At 37.5% G+C, this 20,706-nt stretch overlaps 1 protein-coding gene and 1 long non-coding RNA gene across 4 annotated transcripts in view, besides 1 other annotated feature; both read left to right on the forward strand.

Moving 5' to 3' along the window:
* Positions 1-3,981, forward strand: part of NDFIP2 (Nedd4 family interacting protein 2) — a 74,923-nt gene extending 70,942 nt beyond the window's left edge. For all 3 annotated transcript variants that reach the window (NM_019080.3, NM_001161407.2, NM_001394685.1), the window contains exon 8: positions 420-3,981. The gene's annotated coding sequence lies outside the window, so the exon portion shown is untranslated. The remainder of the gene's footprint in view (positions 1-419) is intronic.
* Positions 8,455-9,654: an enhancer, noted in NCBI's record as "MED14-independent group 3 enhancer chr13:80134686-80135885 (GRCh37/hg19 assembly coordinates)". NCBI's record gives its function as "activates an origin of replication core promoter dependent on BRD2, BRD4, P300/CBP and CDK7 cofactors, and independent of MED14, by STARR-seq in HCT116 cells {active_cell/tissue: HCT116}" and the evidence as "EXISTENCE:reporter gene assay evidence [ECO:0000049][PMID:35650434]".
* Positions 14,631-19,350, forward strand: LINC01068 (long intergenic non-protein coding RNA 1068). The gene is made up of 3 exons (NR_125772.1): positions 14,631-14,711; positions 18,467-18,654; positions 18,984-19,350. It is a non-coding gene; the product is annotated as a long intergenic non-protein coding RNA 1068 (long non-coding RNA).
* Positions 19,351-20,706: the final 1,356 nt, after the last annotated feature.

Raw genomic sequence — 20,706 nt, forward strand, 5'->3', positions numbered from 1 at the left:
ATTTGTATTTCTAGATCATGTTAAAGTATCATTTTAAGTGTTCTACTAAAGTCTCCCCCAACCACTCCCAAAGAAGTCGCTTTTTTATTTTAACAAGCAAAATATCTTTGCAGACACTGGCATTAAGAATTTGTCAGTATTAATAATAAGATTAAAAGGCAAAGTAATTTTGCTGTTTTACTAATTTGTGTGATTGTCTTCTATGCATTTTGAAGAGTCTAAAATACAATGCAAATATTTTCTAGATGAAAATCTGCTATAGAAGCCTTACACTTTAGAATGTATTCTGATATGTAGACTTTAATGAAGAGAATATTATATACTTAATATAATTCTTCTATAAAATGTGTTGTATTATACTATGATTTAGATAAAGACAACTTAATACATTTTAAGACTAATTCCTTCTTTGTCTCCAGACTGCATCAACCCGACATTCCTTTCTTATACCAATGTGAAATTTCCAGATCATCTGTAAACCTACAACTTTAATAGAAGACTACTAATAACAGAAGACAAATTAGTGAAGAAAAGACGGAGTTTCGAAATTGAATGGCAGGGTGGTTTTTGCTTACAAGCCATTTCTGTTCATTCTTTAAGTATCTATATTTCATTTGTTTTGCACATATGCATATGTGCCCATTTAAGATATTTGCATATACTTGATAGAAACCATAAAGTTGTAGCAGTTAAGTCCAGTCACATTTGGTTAATCAGTGTTTGATATAATTGAAAGAGTTGAGTGGATAAACAGTCTTCCAGCTTGTAAATGCCATTGACTTCTGACCTGACATTTAGTATAATAAAAATGAAATTCTTAACCATGTCAAATGATTTAGTTTCTGGCTCTTAGACTCATCTGGCAGTTCTACACATGAAACATCTTTTGTTATATAAGGTGTATTGAAACCTGCAGTGCTGATTATTAGAAAGGATTTGTCAGATTTTTGAACATGATATTTACATTATTATTTAGGAAAACTCTTCCTGTAAATAACCATGCATAACTTACTTTCTGCAATGTTTTCTTAGAAATTGTGTCCAGATAGCTTTCACTAATTTTAAATTAAGTGAACTAAATATATATGTGTATATGTATACACATATATATACACACACACATATATATATTTAGAAACGTGAGTGTTAAAGATAGAATTTGTTTTAGGACAAATTTTAAGAAAATGTGGGAATACCAAATGTCCTTTATAAGAAAAATAAATTTTATTTTAAGGGACATACTAGTTTTAGGGATTTTCAGATGGGAAGCTGCATTTTTAGGATTGCCCATCTTAAGAGATCTTGCAGGAAGAGATTGTATTAGATATTATATTTATTTCATTTAAGATAATTTTCAAAGTTAATTTTCTAAATAAGATAATTCTCATTTGTGTTTGTCTTTTAAAAGGCCAATAAAATATCTTTCAGTATCATTGTAATAATTTTTTAGAGTTTAATTTGTAAAGCTTAGCAAATAAAATCTTGTACTATGAATAGCTTCTTGCTTTATGACTTTAGGATTAACTTGTAAAAAACATATCCTGAACTGAGATATGCAAAATACTCATTTTCAAGTTATGGAAATGTGTTTGTGGCATATAGGACTGTGGGGTCTGTGTGTGTAGTGAGAGTGTGTAGCCACTATTATAACTGGAATTTAATTTACATTCATAAACTACTATATTTCCCATCTTGCAAATCATTTTATGTCTCATCTGTTTTTCCTTTCGGTTATATCTTTGGTTTTGAATACCAACATTTAAAATGATGGTATTTTATCTTTTAAACTTAAAAATTATTTAATACAGCTATATGGACCTTATAAAATTGATTTCTTATTTATTATTAGACATTACTACTAAAAGGTACATCTAACTATTCAGGGACATTTTTCCATTTCCAAAAAATAAAATTTATTATGCTTTATAACCTCTTCTGTATTTTCTAATTTTTTCATTGTCTTTGATAAATAAAACAGTTTTGTTTTGCTAATATAGCCTATTTTTTGTTTTGTCTCATTCAGTTTACTTTCCTGCGTAGAATTTTTATTGTTATATTAAAATTTTTATTGTTGTATTAAAGTACCTGTGTTACACCCCTTGAAGTAAGACAGTAGCATGGGGTAAAGAAAAAATATTTAGTTTAGTTGCCTAATTTGGAAGTTAATTAAAATTAAACTGTACTAATAACATATTCAAACTCATGCTGGATCTCTTTCATATTAATTTCTTATAGACCTGTACTTTATTCTTTCAATAATTTTTAAATGAAATTAAGCTTTGCTACATGGTAATTAAATAATTACTAGGAAGCTTAGCTATCAAACATCGACTTACTAAAATTTCATTTTAGCTTTTATGGTATATGTGCTTGTTTTCTGAATATGGATACATGTTACTTTTGATCCAGCATCAAAACTTCACTTTTTGTTTTGACTTTTCCCCCCAAATCTGTAAGGTTCAAGTATACATATTACTGAATCCTCTATAATTGGCATAATTCAATGGTAGCCTTAAATCTCATCATGTAAGCAGGGGAATCAGAATGTTATTTTCAAGAACTTAATGTTCCCTTCAGATATATAAAATCCTGCATACTTCATTTCCTGTGAGCTTGAACAGCTGCTGTTGTGTTTTGGGGATGCTTGATCATCTTTGCACTCTGCCTTAAAGATTGAAAAATCAAAACTCTTGTTAGGGTATCTAAACATTTTTGAGTGTGAACTGGGGATTGGAAGTTAATACAAAAAAATTTCAAATTATTTCTATTGTAAATGAATAAGCTAGTCATGGCTAGGATAATCCATTTTCATGTATTTATGCAATAAACTGAATTTTAAGGCAAAAACAACACTTTTCTATATAGTGTATGCAGGACAGATTTTAGAAACTTAGATTAAAATACAAATCCCATTACATTTGGTTAAAATGAAAATCTCTGCTTAATGGAAAAAATACTAATCTTTAGCCTATTTTGAGTCTATAAGATATATTTCATTTTAGACATGCCTTCTAAGTTGTTCACAGATTTTTACCTGCTAAAACAATATTATTTCCAGTAAAACCTCTCCTAACAGGAAAAGTGGAGTTCAAAATATCCAATTGGAGAAAAATTCAGAGTTCCTTCATTAAATATAATTTTTTTCATCTAGTATGTACTATTTCAAGAAGTGCAAAAAGTAATGATAGTGAATGTGATACCATACTTAACTAAGGTAATATATATCCTTAGTTTGCTCAAAAGAGTCCTGGTTATTCCTGTTTTCTCAGCTTAATAGTGCCTCATCGTACTCTCAAAAGTGTTCTAATTTGGAGGATAAGTTATATGATCATCCTGTGTATAATTGTAGACTGTACCAAGAAGCAACTACCTTAGCTCCACTGCCCTTTGAGGGATGGAACTGGGGTAAGGGCAGGAGCCAGTTATTATTGCCACAGTGTTTTCTAATGAACCATTTGGCCTGTAGAAGAGGAATAGTATTTTTTTTAATAGTTGTATTTGAATGATTCCAGCTTATCGTAAATACTAAACTGAATGGCTTTTATATTTTTAACTGCTGTTAAATGTTATTTTAGCATTTATTAGTTGTTTATTATTTAATTCTTCAAATAGTCATATGAAAACATATATTTGATAAAGGTCAATTGTTAGATGATAATGTGCCATTCATTATCATAGGAATGTCCTTGCCCATATATAAAACATGCTGGCATGTATTTTACTTGTTAATAAAGTTGTATAGATGTGGAAGTGTGAACCTGTGATGCATCCTTTTCAAAATCAGTTTAAGATTCGCATATTATCATGACTGTGACCTCACTAAACTGTTTATGTGACAAACCTTTCAAGATTGGAGATGAAAACAACACTTGTGAAATTAGGTTGGGGTTGCAACATCTTTTAACTTCTCAGTTATTTGTATGTCAGGAGACAGATTGTGGTTTAATTTTAATAAACAAAATATCATCTTTTTGAAAATAATTTATGTTCATTTCTACTTTGTAAAGTATCATTGGTCACCTACGTCAGACCTGCTTATGGGTTTGAATTCTTATTTGGGACATAATACCTAACGTGAAAATTTCCAGCAAGTAATTAAGAAAAATAGAAAACTCATTTCATACTTTTAAAAATATGTTTTTAAAGTTTAAGCTCAGAATATTTGCTTCTTTTACTTTTTTAATGTTTTGAGCTTATATTTCATTATTTTTGTTTTGAGAGATTGAGTTACTTGCTTTTAAAAAAATTCTCTTTGTTTTAGTAGAAACTATTATTTAAAAAAAAAATCAACACCTAAACAGAGAATATATGGGGTATTACTCCTTTAACAGCGGAGGTTATAGCAAACCAAAGCAATACTTCCAGTTCACGGAATCTTAGGGGTTTTCTATCTCTTCATGCTTGCAAAGAACCACTTTACTACTCCCTAATTAACTTCGTATTTGCTCCTTAAGTCTTCTCTCCTGCAAGTGGAATTAAAGCAAAAGTTACCTAGATGACATTTGATCTTAAGGGACGCAATTAGGTGAAGAGGGGAAGGCAGTTGCTTGTTTACCAAGCAGTAAAGTATTCTAGCTGGTAAGAAAAGTGGAAGTTTGCACAGATCTCTCCAGGCAAAAGGGTCCCTCAGATTTTTAATCTGAATTGATTTAGATGATACTACTTTATAACTAGTGACATGTTTATTTTGCTCAAAGAGCCACTGCACTGAAATCCTTGTTAGAAGTGATCAGGAAATAAGTTGGTGGGCATGTTCTTTCTGATTCTAGGATAAATTACTTCACCAGCTTTCTCTTACAATCATAGGTCAACCTTGGGTTTATTTTTAAAAATGGCAGTTATGTCAAAAAGGCAATACTTAGATGGGAATCAAATTCCCCAGACTCTACCCTGATCGTCCTTTGGATCATTGAAATATTTTCGAATGCCTGTTAATAGTTCTTGAAGAGATGATGCTGTTACTACCACATAAAATCCATCTTTTACTCTATTCCTCTTTCCACCTTCTTTGAAAAAACAACAACAACAACAAAAAAAACCAAAAACCTTAATTGCTATCTCTTTTAGGAAACCTTTTTCTCTCATCCTCTTTAATTTTGATCATCTTGGTTTCCATAGCCCTATGTGTGATTTCTGTCAAGGTACTTATGAGACAGTGCTGGGAGTATTAATTTTTAGGTTACTATCCTCAATGGTAGATATTATATCTTACTCAATTTTGCATGTCACTGCCCCCCCCCCCGCCCCGCCCCACAACACCTAAGCACAAAGCTCAATACATTTAATGAATGGTTGGATAGGATGGATGCCAGAGTGAGGCTGTGTGTATGTACTGGCATATATAAAATGCCTTCTGGCCTTTAACTTAGTGTCTAATAGAGGAAGATTTATAAACAGGAAAATTGGCTAGTATTCAGGTAGGAACAAAAATCATGGGTCAGAGCAATTGAACTCCAGGAGAAAAAGGGCAGTCTTCACTGCAGAGGTGACATTGGAACTAGATGTTAAAGAATAAGTAGAAGTGTGCACTGTGTTTAAGCATTTCATACATTCTCATATTTTTCCATCTCTTGCATGATGTTCTCTGCCTTCCTTGATTCTCCTCAGAAGGAAGGAATTATCTTTCCAATTCTCATAACAGTTCTTCTGAGGCTCTTTATTAAACCGCTTTCTACTGTGTATCTCAGTACTTTGCATTCATGCCTCACCACTTCTGCTTGAGGGCAGGATCTGTGTGAGGTGTAGAGTCATAGCCTCCAATGGGCCTAGCACATACTAAACACCTTTAAAAGATCAAGATTTTCCACATCATTGTGAGCCACTCACTTTACCACTGCAGATACCACTGCAGGTGTCCACAGTGGTACAGACTTCCTTTTCTCCAAATGCACTGTGCAAGAAGTAAGTAGAATAATTGCGAACATCTTTTTCACATATCTCCCAACTTCATCTCCCTCTCTAGAAGTAACCACTATTAACAATTTATTACACGCTCTTACAGATGTTTTCTGTGTAGATTTTTCTACTAGGATGAGCCTGTGCTCTATGATGTCAGCATAACTTCTGGTTATGAAGGTGAGAGGATCCCAGTTATGTCTGAAAAAGTGTACCTCTTGCTTTGTAATTATAGGATACCACTCTCAGGGGAGAGTAGTGTTTCTTTATTGCAAACATAGTTTATTTACTGAGAAACCAAGGTTTATTTTCTTGGTCCTTTAGTCTCTAGATGAAGAATGACTTGTGGTTTCAAGGCCGTTGGGAGCTGAACTGTTCCAGGATCTGATACATGCAGCAGGTAAATGTGCTATTTTATGAACACCTTACAACTCCATTTGGTGAGAAGTTCTCTGAAATGAGGTCATTTGGAGGGAAAAGATCAGAGTTGACAAGAAAGTCCAGCCTGGGTAGGCTGAGAGAAGACTAAAATGATGCTGGGTTTAGGCTGGGCGTGGTAGCTCACGCCTGTAATCCCAGCACTTTGGGAGGCCAAGGCAGGTGGATCACATGAGGTCAGGAGATCGAGACCAGCCTGGCCAACGTGGTGAAACCCCGTCTCTACTAAAAATACAAAAATTAGCTGGGTGTGGTAATGGGCGCCTGTAATCTTAGCCACTTGGGAGGCTGAGGCAGGAGAACCACTTGAACCCAGGAGGCAGAGGTTGCAGTGAGCCAAAATCACACCACTGCACTGCAGCCTGGGTGACAGAGTGAGACTCCCTCTCAAAAAATAAAATAAAATAAATAAATAAATAAATAAATAAATAATTGGTGCTGGGCTTAAAGTGAATTCCCTTTGTTTTAGGACCAGTGTGTCCCAGGATATGGCAATCACTGTTCTCTGACTAAACCTACAGACATTTGGAATCCCTCTGTATTAGTGTTCTCCAGAGAAACAGAACCAATAGGATCTGTGTATGTATGTATATATGTATGGTCAATAGATCCATCTGTATAGGTATTTATTATCGGAATTGGCTTATCTGATTATGGTGGCTGAGAAGTCCTCCCATTTGCAGTCTGCAAACTGGAGAACCAGGAAAACTGGAGATGTAATTCACTGAGTCAGGAGTCAGAAGGGCTGAGAACCAGGAGAGCCTATGGTGTAACTCCCAGTCCCAGTTGGAAGGTGGGAGGGAGTGGGGTGAAGAAATGGTGTAAGTCTGGAGTCCAAAGGCCCAACAACCAGGAGCTCCAGTGTATAAGGGCAGGCAAACATGAATTGTCCCAGCTCAAGAAAAGAGAGATAATTCACTCCTCTTCCATATTTTTGTGCTATTTTGGCTCTCAATGGATTGGAAGATGCACACCCACATAGGTGAAGCCAGATCTTCTTTACTCAGTCTACTGTTTGAAATGTTAATCTTTTCCGGAAACACCCTCACAGACACACCTGGAATAATGTTTAATCAGCTGTCTGGGCATCCCTTACCTCAGTCAAGTTGACACATAAAATTAACCACCACACCCTTCTATCTTCTTCCCAAATTTTTCCTGCCTGAATGCCAGTATGATATCTGGAGGTGAAGTGGGACGCAGATACACAGTTTGAGTTCTCTGTACTGTGTAGTGATAAACAGTTTGGGTTGCTCTTAACAAGACTGAAGTAAGTAAGATCCTCAGTGGCTAAGCCAATGGCTCACAATGATGTGCAAAATCTTGCACCTTATTTTTAAAAGTGCTTACAGTAACCTCTGTTCTGTAGAATTTACAGGAGAGCTGCTTAGGCCTTCACAAGCCCCAACATGAAAAAAAAAAAGAGTTGCAAGTCTTACCATCCCACAGGGGTTACCACCCAGACTCCTCACGCATGGTTTGATTTTCAATCAACTCACTACTGTGGCAGTGTGTAAGTAGTTTAAGTAATGGGTTTATATCTGCTTGACTGTCGCCCCTTTATTCTCCAATTGTGTCCCAGTTGGCAACCCAGTACTTCCCAGTCGCTTCTAGAGAATGGCTTAGTGAAAATGTCAGCAGCCATGATTTCAACAACTATCTCAAAGGTCATTCCGAGCTGTCCACATTGACCACCAACAAAACTTTGCCAAGGGAAGCAGGTGCCATTTTCTTTTTTCCCCTTCCCTTCCCTTCCCCTCCACTTCCCCCTTCCCCCTTCCTTTTCCCTTCCCTTCCCTTTTTTCTTTTTTTGGCCACCTTCCTGGCTGGGAAAGCTGGTGCCATTTTCAAATATCTGCTTGGAAAAACAAATCAGAATGGCTGGGTGAAATCAGCACTCCCTTTTATGGTAGTACAGCTCCCAAATACATAATGTTGGGTTTTTAGAGAAGAGTTAAAGAAAATATGGCAGGAGTGAGGCAAGATGGCTGACCAGAAGCAGCTACAATGTGTGATTCTCACAGAAGGGAGTGAAAGGGGTGAGTACATACAGCACCATTAACTGAAACATCCAAGTACGCGCATTGGGACTGATCAGGGAAATGGCTCCACCCATGGAGAATGGAGAAAAGCAAGATAGAGTGATGGCCCACTCAGGAGTGACATGAAATCAAGAGATCCCCAATCCCTGGCCCAGGGAAACAGTGAGTGAGTGTGCAACCTCAGGAACCCATGCTTTTCCCATGGATCTTTGCAACCCTCAGATCAGGAGATCCCTTCATGAACCCATTTCACCAGGGCCTTGGGTCTGACACATAGAGCTGCATCGAGTCTCAACAAAACAGCTACTCAGGCACGCACAGAGATCCAAGAGCTTTACATACTTGGGATCTGAGATTCCTGACAAAGGTGACTGCAACTCAGGCAAAGCAGGAGGTCCGTACATACCCCTAGGAAGGGGGCTGAATCCAGGGGGCTGAGCAGTGTTGGTCTGTGGGTCCCACTCCCATGGTACCTCACAAGAAAAGACTGACTGGCTTGGAATTCCAGCCAGCCACTGGCAACAGTGTAGCACTTACCTGAGACAGGACAGAGCTTCTTGGGGGAGGAGCAGGCCACCATCTTTGCTATTTGGATGACTCAGCCATTTTAGCCTGCAGGCTTTGGAGAGTCCAAACAGACTGGGTGTGGAAGGGATCCCCCAGCACAGCACAGCTGCTCTAGCAAAATGTGGCCAAACTGCTTCTTTAAGTGGGACCTGATCCATTCTTCTGCATTGAGTGGGACCTCAGCCAAGTCCTCCAGCCACGTCCTACAGGTGTGTTCAGGCTGGCAACAGGTTTGTGCCCCGCTGGGATGGAGCTCCTAGAGGAAGGGGCAGGCTGCCATCTTTGCTGAATCACAGCCTTCACTGGTAATACCTCCAGGTAATTCACTGGTAATACCTCCAGGTAATTCACTGGTAATACCTCCAGGTAATTCACTGGTAATACCTCCAAGTACTGGAAAGTCTGAGTCAACTAGGGTCTGGAGTGGATCCCCCAGCAAACCACAGCAGCCCTATGGAAAAGTGTCCAGACTGTTAAAAGAAAAAAAAAAAAACACATAAAAAAACCAAAAATCCCATTCAAAGGTCAGCAGCCTCAAAGATTGAAGGTAGATAAGCCCACAAATATGAGAAAGAATCAGTGCAAAACCGCTAAAAGTTCAAAAAGCCAGAATGCCCTCTTCTAAATAACAGCAACACCTCTCCAACAAGGGTTCAGAACTGGGCTGAGGTTGAGATGGCTGAAATGACAGAAGTAGACTTCAGAATGTGGATAAAAACAAACTTCACTGAGCTAGCGGAGCACGTTGTAACCCAATGCAAGGAAGCTAAAAATAATGATAAAACAATGCAGGAACTGACAGCCAAAATAGTATACAGAACATAACCAACCTGATAGAGCTGAAAAACACATTACAAGAACTGCACAATTCAATCACAGGTATTAATACCAGAAGACACCAAGTGGAGGAAAGAATTTCAGAGCTGGAAGACTTTCTGAAATAAGACAGGCAGACAAGAATAGAGAAAAAAGAATGTAAAGGAATGAACAAAACTTCAGTGAAATATGGGACTATGTAAGGAGACTGAATCTACAACTGATTAGGGTACCTGAAAGAGATGAAGAGAATGGAACCAATTTGGGAAACATATTTCAGGGTATTGTCCAGGAGAACTTTCCCAACCTAGCTAGACTGATCACTATTCAAATTCAGAAAATGCAGAGAACCCCAGTAAGATACTCAATGAGAAGATCATCCCCAGGACACATAATCTTTAAATTCTCCAAGGTCAAAATGAGAGAAAACATTAAGAACAGCCAGAGAGAAAGGCCAGGTCACCTACAAAGGGAAGCCCATCAGACTAACAGCCAACCTCTCAGTGGAAATTCTACAAATCAGAAGAGATTAGAGGCCAATATTCAACATTCTTAAAGAAAAGAAACCCCAACCCAGAATTTCATATCCAGCCAAACTTAGCTTCATAAATGAAAGAGAAGATCCTTTTCAGACAAGCATATGCTGAAAGAATTTGTTACCACCACACCTACTTTACAAGGGCTCCTGTAGGAAGCACTAAATATGGATAGGAAAAACTGTTACCAGACACTATAAAAACACACTGAGGTACACAGACCAGTGACACTATAAAGCAACAACATAAACAAGTTTACAAAATAACCTTATAGTTAGCATCATGATGACAAGATGAAATCCACACACTAACCTTAAATGTAAATGGGCTAAATGCCCCAATTAAAAGACACAGAGTAGCAAGCTGGATAAAGAACCAAGACCCAAGTTATGCTGTCTTCAGGAGAGTCATCTCATGTGCAAAGACACACACAGACTCAAAGGGATGGAGGAAAATTTAACAACAAATGGAAAACAAGCAGGGGTTGCAATCCTAGCTTCTGACAAAATAGACTTTAAATCAACAAAGATGAAAAAAGACAAGGGCATTACATAATGGTAAAGAGATCAATTCAACAAGAAGAATTAACTATCCTAAATATATGTGCACCCAATACAGGAGCACCCAGACTCATAAAGCAAGTTCTTAGAGACCTACAAAGAGACTTAGACTCCCACACAATAATAATGAGAAACTTTAACACCCCACTGACAATATTAGAAGAGATAGAAAATTCACAAAGATATTCAGGACTTGAACTCAGCTGTGGATCAAGTGGACCTGATAGATATGTACAAAACTCTTCACCCTAAAACAACAGAATATACATTCTTCTCATCACCACACATCATGTACTCTAAAACTGATCACATCAGAAGTAAAACACTCCTCAGCAAATGCATAAGAACTGAATCATAACACACAGTCTGTCAGACCACAGCACAATCAAATTAGAACTCAAGATTAGGAAGCTCACTAAAAACCATGAAACTAAATGGAAACTGAACAACCTGCTCCTGAATGACTCTTGGATAAATAATGAAAATAAGGCAGAAATCAAGAAGTTCTTTGAAACTAATGAGAACAAAGATAAAACATACCAGAATCTCTGGGACACATCTAAGGCAGTGTTAAGAGGGAAATTTATAGCAGTAAATGCCCACATCAAAAAGCTAGAAAGATCTCAAGTTAACAGCGTCACAACTGAAAGAACTGAAGAACCAAGAGCAAACAAATTCCAAAGCTAGTAGAACACAAGAAATAACCAAAATCAGAGCTGAACTGAAGGGGAGAGAGACAGAAAAAACAAAAAAATTCAAAAGATCAATGAATCCAGGAACTTTTTTTGAAAAAATTAATAAAATAGATAGACTGCTAGCCAGACTAATAAAGAAGAAAGAAGATTCAAATAAACACAATCAGAAATGATTACTACTGGCTCCACAGAAATACTAACAATCATCAGAGAATATTAGAAACACCTCTATGCATATAAACTAGAAAAATCCAGAAGAAATGGATAAATTCCTGGGTACATTCACTCTCTCAAGACTGAATCAGGAAGAAATGTAATCCCTAAATAAACCAATAATGCATTCTGAAATTGAGGCAGTAATAAATAGCCTACCAATCAAAAAAGGCCCAAGACCAGATGGATTCACACTAAATTCTACCAAATGTCCAAAGAAGAGCTGGTACCATTCCTACTGAAACTATTCTAAAAAATTGAAAAGGAAGGACTCCTCCCTAACTCATTCTATGAGACCAGCATCATCCTGATATCAAAACTGTGCAGAGGTACAACAACAAAAAAGAAAACTTCAGGCCAGTATCTCTGATGAACATCAATGCAAAAATCCTCAACAAAATACTGGTAAACCAAATCCAGCAGCATGTCAAAAAGCTTATCCACCACAATGAGGTAGGCTTCATTTCTGGGATGGAGGGTGGGTTCAGCATACACAAAACAATAAATGTGATTTATCCCATAAACAGTACTAAAGACAAAAACTACATGATTATCTCAATAGATGCAGAAAAGGCTTTTGATAAAATTCAACATCCCTTCATGTTAAAAACTCTCAATAAACTAGTTATTGAAGGAACATACCTCAAAATAATAAGAGCCATTATATGACAAACCCACAGCCAATATCATACTGAATGGGCAAAAGTTGGAAGCATTCCCCTTGAAAACTGACATCCTTGAAGACAAGGATGACCTCTCTTATCACTCCTATTCAACATAGCATTGGCCAGGGCAACCAGGCAAGAGAAAAAAATAAAGTATATTCAGATAGGAAGAGAGGAAATGAAACTATCCCTGCTTGCAGATGACATGATCTTATATCTAGAAAACCCCATGGTGTCAGCCCAAAAGCTTCTTAAGCTGATAAACAACTTTAGCAAAGTCTCAGGATACAAAATCAATGTGCAAAAATCACTAGCATTTCTATACACCAACAACAGTTAAGCCGAGAGCCAAATCATGAATGAGCTCCCATTCATCATTCCCACAGAAAGAAAATACCTAGGAAGTCAGTTAACAAGGGAAGTGAAGGACCTCTACAAGGTGAACTACAAACCACTGCTCAAAGAAATCAGAGATGACACAAACAAATGGAAAAACATTCCATGCCATGGATAGGAAGAATCAATATTGTGAAAATGGCCATACTGCCCAAAGCAATTTATAGATTCAATGCTATTCCCATTAAACTACCACTGACATTCTTCATAGAACTAGAAAAAACTTTTTAAAATTTATATGGGACCAAAAAAAGCCTGAATAGCCAAAGCAATCCTAAGCAAAAAGAACGAAGCTGGAGGCATCATGCTACCTGACTTCAAACTATGCTTTAGGGCTACAGTAACCAAAACAGCATGGTACTGGTACAAGAACAGACACATAGACCAATGGAACAGAATAGAGAACTCGGAAATAAGATTAAACACCTACAACTATCTGATCTTTGAGAAACCTGACAAAAACAGACAATGGGGAAAGGGTTCCCTATATTTAATAAATGGTGCTGAGATAACTGTCTAACCATATGCAGAAAATTGAAACAGGACCTCGTTCTTCCACCATATAACAAAATCAACTCAAGATGGATTAAAGACCTAACTGTAAAACTAAAAACTATAAAAACCCTAAAAGAAAACCTAGTTAATACTGTTCAGGACATAGGCACAGGGAAAGATTTCATAACGAAGATGCCAAAAACAATTGCAAGATGCCAAAAGCAATTGCAACAGAAGCAAAAATTGACAGATGGTATCTAATTAAACTAAAGAGCTTCTACACAGCCAAATAAACTATCAGCAGAGTAAATGGACAACCTACAGAATGGAAGAAAACTTTGCAAACTATGCAGCATCTATAAGGAACTTAAATTTACAAGCCAAAAACAACCCAATTAAAAAGTGGGCAAAGGACATGAACAGGCACTTCTCATGCTGCCAGCAATCATACATGTGGCCAACAATCATATGAAGAAAAGCTCAACATTACTGATTATTAGAGAAATGCAAATCAAAACCACAATGAGATACCATCTCACACCAGTCAGAATGGCTATTATTTTGACTATAAAATTAAAAAAAAAAACAGATGTTGGTGAGGTTGTGGAGAAAAAGGAATGCTTTTACACTGTTGGTGGGAGTGTAGATTAGTTCAACTATTGTGGAAGACAGCCTGACGATTCCTCAAAGAATTGTCTAGAAACAGAAATACCATTTGACTTAGCAATCCGTTACTGAGTATATACCCCACATCACTCTATTATAAAGACACATGCACATGTATGTTCATTGCAGCACTATTCACAATAGCAAAGACATGGAATCAACCTAAATTCTGAACATTAAAGGTAAGCTGCATAATGAAAATGTGGTACATATATACACCATGGAATACTATGCAGCCATAAAAAAGAACAGGATCATGTCCTTTGTAGGGACATAGATGGAGCTGGAGGCCATAATTCTTAGCAAACTTAACACAGGAACAGAAAACCACATACCACATGTTCTCATTTATAAGTGGGAACTAAATTATGAGAACACATGAACATATAGAGGGAACAACACACAGTGGCCGAAGAGAGGGTGGAGGGTAGGAGGAGGGAGAGGACCAGGAAAAATAACTAGTGGATACTAGGCTTAATACATGGGTGATGAAATAATCTGTACAACAAACCCCTATGACACGTTTACCTATGTAACAAAGCTGCACATCCTGCACATGTACCCCTAAACTTAAAAATTAAAAAAAAAATGTAAAGAAGTCCTACAGAGAGACACACCTCTTGCTTGTTCAGGTTCCAGATTCTGAATTCGACCTTCTCTTAACTCCGCAGAATGCAGTTGAGATGCATAGAAAAAGTCTGGGACTACTTACACCTATTTGCTAGCAGTAGGTGTTAACTCTTTTCTTCTTTTGTTCCTACTGCCTTCTTGGCCTTTCTTCCTTCTCCCCTCCTCCCTCTCACCATTTTCTTGTATCATTGCCTGAAGTCAGGAGTAAAGCTCAAATATTAAAAAATCTGGAAGAGGTCTGGTGCAGTGCTCACATCTGTGATCCCAGGGCTTTGAGAGGCCAAGGCGGGAGTTCACCTTGAACTCTTGGCAGAAGACCAAGAGTTCAAGGCTGTAGTGAGTGCTGATCATGCCACTGCACTCCAGCCTGGGTGACAGAGACACTGTCTCTGGAAAAGAAAAATCTGGAAGAGAATTGAAAAAAACCTACTTGTAATATGAGTATGTTAACTTTAGCCATTCATATGCATTGTCAAATCTCTGGGTCTTCGAATTCTAGCAAAATGTTTCTCATTTTTCATAATGCTAATATCTTACCTGTCTGTGAACTAGAGGTTAATTTTAATTTTTATTTTTTAGATTTAGTACACTGTTGGGAAGTGGGGAGGGAAAAAGTTCGCCTCTTACTTTTGATGTTTCCTTCCATGTGGAGGGAATGTGATAGTCTAACTCCTGACTTTCCTCCACCTCTTTATTAGTTCTTCCCCAGGGGAGTCATTTATTTGATGGGTAAATTTGAGATGTAAATACCTGAATATGCTCTGCTCAACTTCTTCTTCCTTTGGGGAGCTCACAGTTCACAGGAGTTGCTGCTATGCTCTGTTCTTCAGGGTCGGCTCTGCTGTACCCCCACCCAGGGAAGTGGCTCACAGTCCACCACTTCCTGGGTAGGGTACAAGGGGGCCCAATTCTGGAGTTCATCTAGTTAACCTATTTTTTCCAATCTACTTTTATCAGTAGCAAAGTTAATATTTTGGTTGTCTATGTGCCACTGCTTTGTTTAATTATTTATGCATATCTCAGGTGGGAAAGAAGGGTGCTGTATTGGAATCCTTAGTGACTCACAGTATACATCCCATTAGATCTGCTGTTGGCTAGATGCCCCATTAGCCACCTTCAATATAAATGAATCAAATACAAGACTATCTGTACTCTTATATTTGAAGTCCTTTAGATAAGGATTTTTTTTTCTTTTCCAAGATCATCAAACAGATACCACCTGGCTTGCCAGTAGAAGGCTCAGAAGAAATTAAGAAGTTATCCCCTCAAAAATAGCCCACTGTCCCTTCCGATAATTTTACCACTTGAACCAATACAATCAATTTATTGATCTTATAATGTCTGCACAGTCATTTGGATTTAGGATGCCCAATAGTCAGTAAATTCCACAGTGTCTGTTTACAGTCTATATTATTTATGCCAGACATATACTAATGGGTCCTTGACGCTGGCAGTAACATGACTTCCAGATTAGTGAAGCAGGAGGAGATCTGAGTGAGTGTCTCTCTCCTCTGAACTTCCATACCTGTCTATTGGATCTTCTTTTGTAAAATGCTTTGTTTTCTACCATGTGTTATGATTATTTCTGGTTTTGGCTTATCTTCTCTGATGGCCTTTTGGCAAGTCTTGTCAAGTTATATTTCCCTTTGGTCTTTGTTTCCCAGAAACAATGTAATATTTCTCAAAATTCCGTAATTATGTTGAAGAACAATAGAGAAAGTGGGGCAAAGGAAGAGATGAGGAAAACTAGGAGGGAGTGACTCTCTACAGCCATTATGAGAAACAGTCTCCATATGGAGAGGTGCAGCAGCAAGATCAAAGGCCCATGCTCACCCAGAATGTTACGTAGAGATCCTCCGTGCAAAGGCTGAGAAGCTTTTGCACATATTGGAAACATAAGCAAGCTATTGGAAGGTTATAGGGGTATCTGACTCGTGAAACCCAAGGGCAGGGCATGTAGCCTGGATGCACAAGAACATGGAACTAGCAATTGAATAGTGATGAGGAGCCAAGTCAGAAACACATTCATACAAACACTCTCTGGAACTCCAGAGTTTCTTATTTCTTCTGCTCTCTGGGTGTCTGCTTTCTTCTTTTTCCTTCTGTAGGTTGGTTTCTTCAGTTTATTCCACTTGTACCTGGCTCATCACAGTCACCTCCAAATGCCTGGCTCAGCCCTTTATTGACCTGACTGCATGAACTTGACAGAAACAAACTTATGAAGTCTCTCAAGTCCCAACCTCAAATTCACAGGAGATAGAATCCACTGTACCTCTCTCCCAGAAACCCTCCAACTCCTTTGGTCAGTGGTGTTCATCCATAATGCCATCTGGCACTGGGCAAAGAGCAGGGTCATATCTGCTTTTATTCGGAGCCTTGGTAGGAACATATTCTTGTGTAGAAATGGGCAGAAAATTATTGGTATCTTTAGTACACTTTTTGGTCCCAGAAACATGACCAAACTGAAGGATCCGCCCTGCCTAGGATGACCTTTCACATATTTGGTGAGAACTGACTGAAAAACAACATATTTGGGCTTGAAGTTAAATGGAGTTTTAAAATATGGACCTCTAGTAATGATAGTTTCTTTAGCATTTGTTTTAGGTATACACAGGTTAAAAGATAGTAACTGAGAACTTCTGCTTCTAGGAGGATGAAGTAGATACACTTTTCCTATTTCCCACTAAGTACAACTAAAGACCCAGGACATTATGTAAAAATGAACACTGGAAGACATCAAAAGGTGGAGAGAAGGCAGTACATTGGCTGGGAGCCTTATGATATGAGAAACAACACAGGTGAAGTTCCGTGAGTTTTCTGAGTTATCCCAGACATGGAACTGAAGAAGCCAGCAGCCCAGAAATATCAAAGGGCACAGACACAAAAGGCCCCCTGCAAAACTCTGGCCTCTCTATGCAAAGGACCAGGAAAGGGACAGACTAGCAGATGGAAAACTTCTAGACAATAGCTACTCTACTGCAACCAATAACACAGGAAAAATTTTGGTCCCACCCATACCTCCACCAATGAAATGGGAAGCCTAGACTTCCACACTTGCCAGGTTGTCACAGGCACCCTACACCCCCAGCTGGAGTGAGAAGACCAAATAAGGTATCAGAGGCTGCCTAGTGGGGAATCAGGACCTTCCTCAATGCCCAGCAGTAACAAAATAAACTCCTCTTTGGTGTGGGTGGAGACCACTGAAGGAGCTGAAATGCCCTTCCCTCCCCAGCAGTAATGAGGAGTGCCCATTCTCAGGCATCAAAGTAGGCTGAGTTGACAACAGGGACTTATACCTCCATTAGGTAGTAACTGAAGCAATAACTCCCTTCCTTTGCTAGAGAAAACCAGCAAAAACAATGTTTAAGTAACATTCAGAGTCTTAAAATATGAAATGATCAGATTTTACAGAAATTACTCATCATAACAAGGATTTCAGTTTTGCAGTTACTAAAAATCTAAAACCAGGAAAAAAATCCATAAATGCTCATGTGACTGTTAAAATTTTTTGGGGGGATAGCGGAGGAGAGGAGACAGTGTCTTGTTTTATCACCCAGTCTGGAGTGCAGTGGTGCAATCATAGCTCACTGCAGCCTCCAATTCCTGGGCTCAAGGAATCCTCCTGCCTCAGCCTCCTGAGCTGCTAGGACTATAGATGTTCACCACCACGCCTGGCTAATTAATTTTTGTAGAGATGGGGTCTTGAACTCCCAGCCTGAAGCAATCCTCCTGCCTTGGCCTCCCAAAGTGTTGGGATTATAGGCTTGAGCCACTGTACCTGACCACAGGTGATTTAGATTGGAGAAAAAAAAATACAGCTGATTACAATCATTTGTTATTTATTTGTTTCAGTGTCTTTGAAGAATGTTACTAGAGAGAAGCAGGTACAACCTTGTGATTATTATGCTTTGAACTTGATGCTGTGCTGAACACATAAAAAGAGCCCTCATGATGAGAGATTGGAAGGAGAATGAAAGAAAGGAAGCAAGATCATCCAGAGAACCATGAAGTAGTGACCTTCAGTGACCTTCAGTGATGAGGTGAAAAGTGTCCGGACAGGATGAGACCTGTATACTTGTAATTTTTTCTAGAAATATCTGGAAAACAAAGCAAGAGAAGTAGAAGTATTTGTAGCTTTTACTGGAGAAGATTTTTGTATTTTTCTAAGTAGATATGTTAGTTGCCCATGTTAGTAAAATTTTAAAATGTTTTAAAAGTCTTAAACATTTTTATCTCTAGTGTACATTGTTGTTGATTTTTACACAGAGTTTTGGGTAAATTTTGAACATTTTTTAAAATAGAAAAAGATGACATTCTTAAGAAAAAAAAGCACTACTAACTCCTTATTTTACATCCCCCCATCCCCTAGGTCTGGCATTCATCAGCATTCACACATCTGCAGAAGGGGTATGAGGGAGAAATGACTTCATTAATTATTGTGTCACCAAGTTTTTCTTCTCTTGATTCCTAAGAAGAAGAAACAGAGATTACATGTGTTTACTTAAGGGTAAGCACTAACTGAATGCTTACTGAGTGGCTAGATGAATATCTAAAAAAAAAAATGGTTTCTGTAGGCGTTGGATTCTGCTCAATGCTTATGCCCACCCAGAATGCTCTATAAAACCTTCACTGTTGTTCTCAGGATCAGCCTTCCTGAATTCATCCTATAAACTTTTAATGAGTGACCTGTTTGTAAAACTCCCTTCCAGATTGGCAAATACAAGTTGATAGAGAACTTCAATGCCTTTTTTCTTCTAACCTCCCTTTCCTTATACTTTCCCCTATTGAATCTTACCAGAGGGAACACACACACACACACACACACAGAGTAAACTCATCAGCCAAAAAAACTTTTAAAAAGTAAAAATAAAAAATAAAAAAATACAGGACTCAAAACAGCAGTCCACAGCATTTTTGTGCTGTGATTTCTGAGGGAAATGAATTAGGCACATTGTTTAGTTTGTTTGTTTGTTTTTGTTTTTTAACAGTATCTGCTTTTGCCTATGTGGAAGTCTTTGATGTAAAACAAAAGCTCTTGATGAAGTGCTAGAACGTACCTAATTGTTGAGGTGTAGAGATAAACTGACATATAATGATACTTGGAAACAAAGAAAGAAAGGATTGGGGTCTGTTCTATTTTGATTTAAAGTAGGCAACTAGCATGTATTAATGGCTCTTAGCTGTCTTTTAAGATAATTTTACAAATACAGAAAATGTTTTATTCACTTGTCCACACAAAGAATAGCCACTAAACCCCATCCCCATTTTATTTCTTTCTTATTGTTTATCTTTCCTCTGGAATTTATATACAAAATGTAAATTAAATTAAAATCTGAATAAACAAGAACTAAACTATAAAAAATTACTATTCATCTATGTTTAATTAGTAGATCAGCTGATATTACAACCCCCCGAATATGCATATTTATGAGGAAGAGTAGTACAATAAAAAAGGGTACTGTTTCTTTTTTTTACTGTTATTGTTCCTTCGAGACTTTTCAAATATTGAAACCTCCAGCAAACAATGCAAGTACAGTTTGTCATTAAAAAGCTATAATGCGCTAAAAAAAAGTCATTCTTTTTCCATATGCTCTTTACAGAATCAGAGTAATCATTTCAATGAGAAACTAAAGTGCTCCTCTAATTAGAAAACTTCAGTGGTCTTTTAAAAAATTCCAGCAAAATTTAACATCATTTTATAAATTTTCTAAAGAAAAAGGAAACTATTTATAACCCCATTATCTTGGTATAATGTTCATTTTGGCATGTTCCTTCCAGGCCCTTGACCACACGCACAGTTATTGTTATTTATTCAGGTAAACTTGCATTCTGTTTTTCTTAAATGTTTTATCTTAAATTCTATTTTTATACAATTGTCATAATTATCATTTGTAATCATTTTTGCAATCTCCTTTATGGGAATTTAACACATGGAAAAAATTCAACAGAAGAAAAAATATATAAAGATGTTAATGGTAGCCTTATTCAGGAAAATAGCAGGATGAGCATGTTCCTTGTCTGGCAGTGGTAAATCGTGGCCTGTACGACACTGGATGGAATATGATGTCAGTGCTTTCAACAGTAGCCAGAAG

Source organism: Homo sapiens, chromosome 13 (assembly GCF_000001405.40).
Source record: "Homo sapiens chromosome 13, GRCh38.p14 Primary Assembly".
In the NCBI taxonomy this organism is placed as follows: domain Eukaryota; kingdom Metazoa; phylum Chordata; class Mammalia; order Primates; family Hominidae; genus Homo; species Homo sapiens.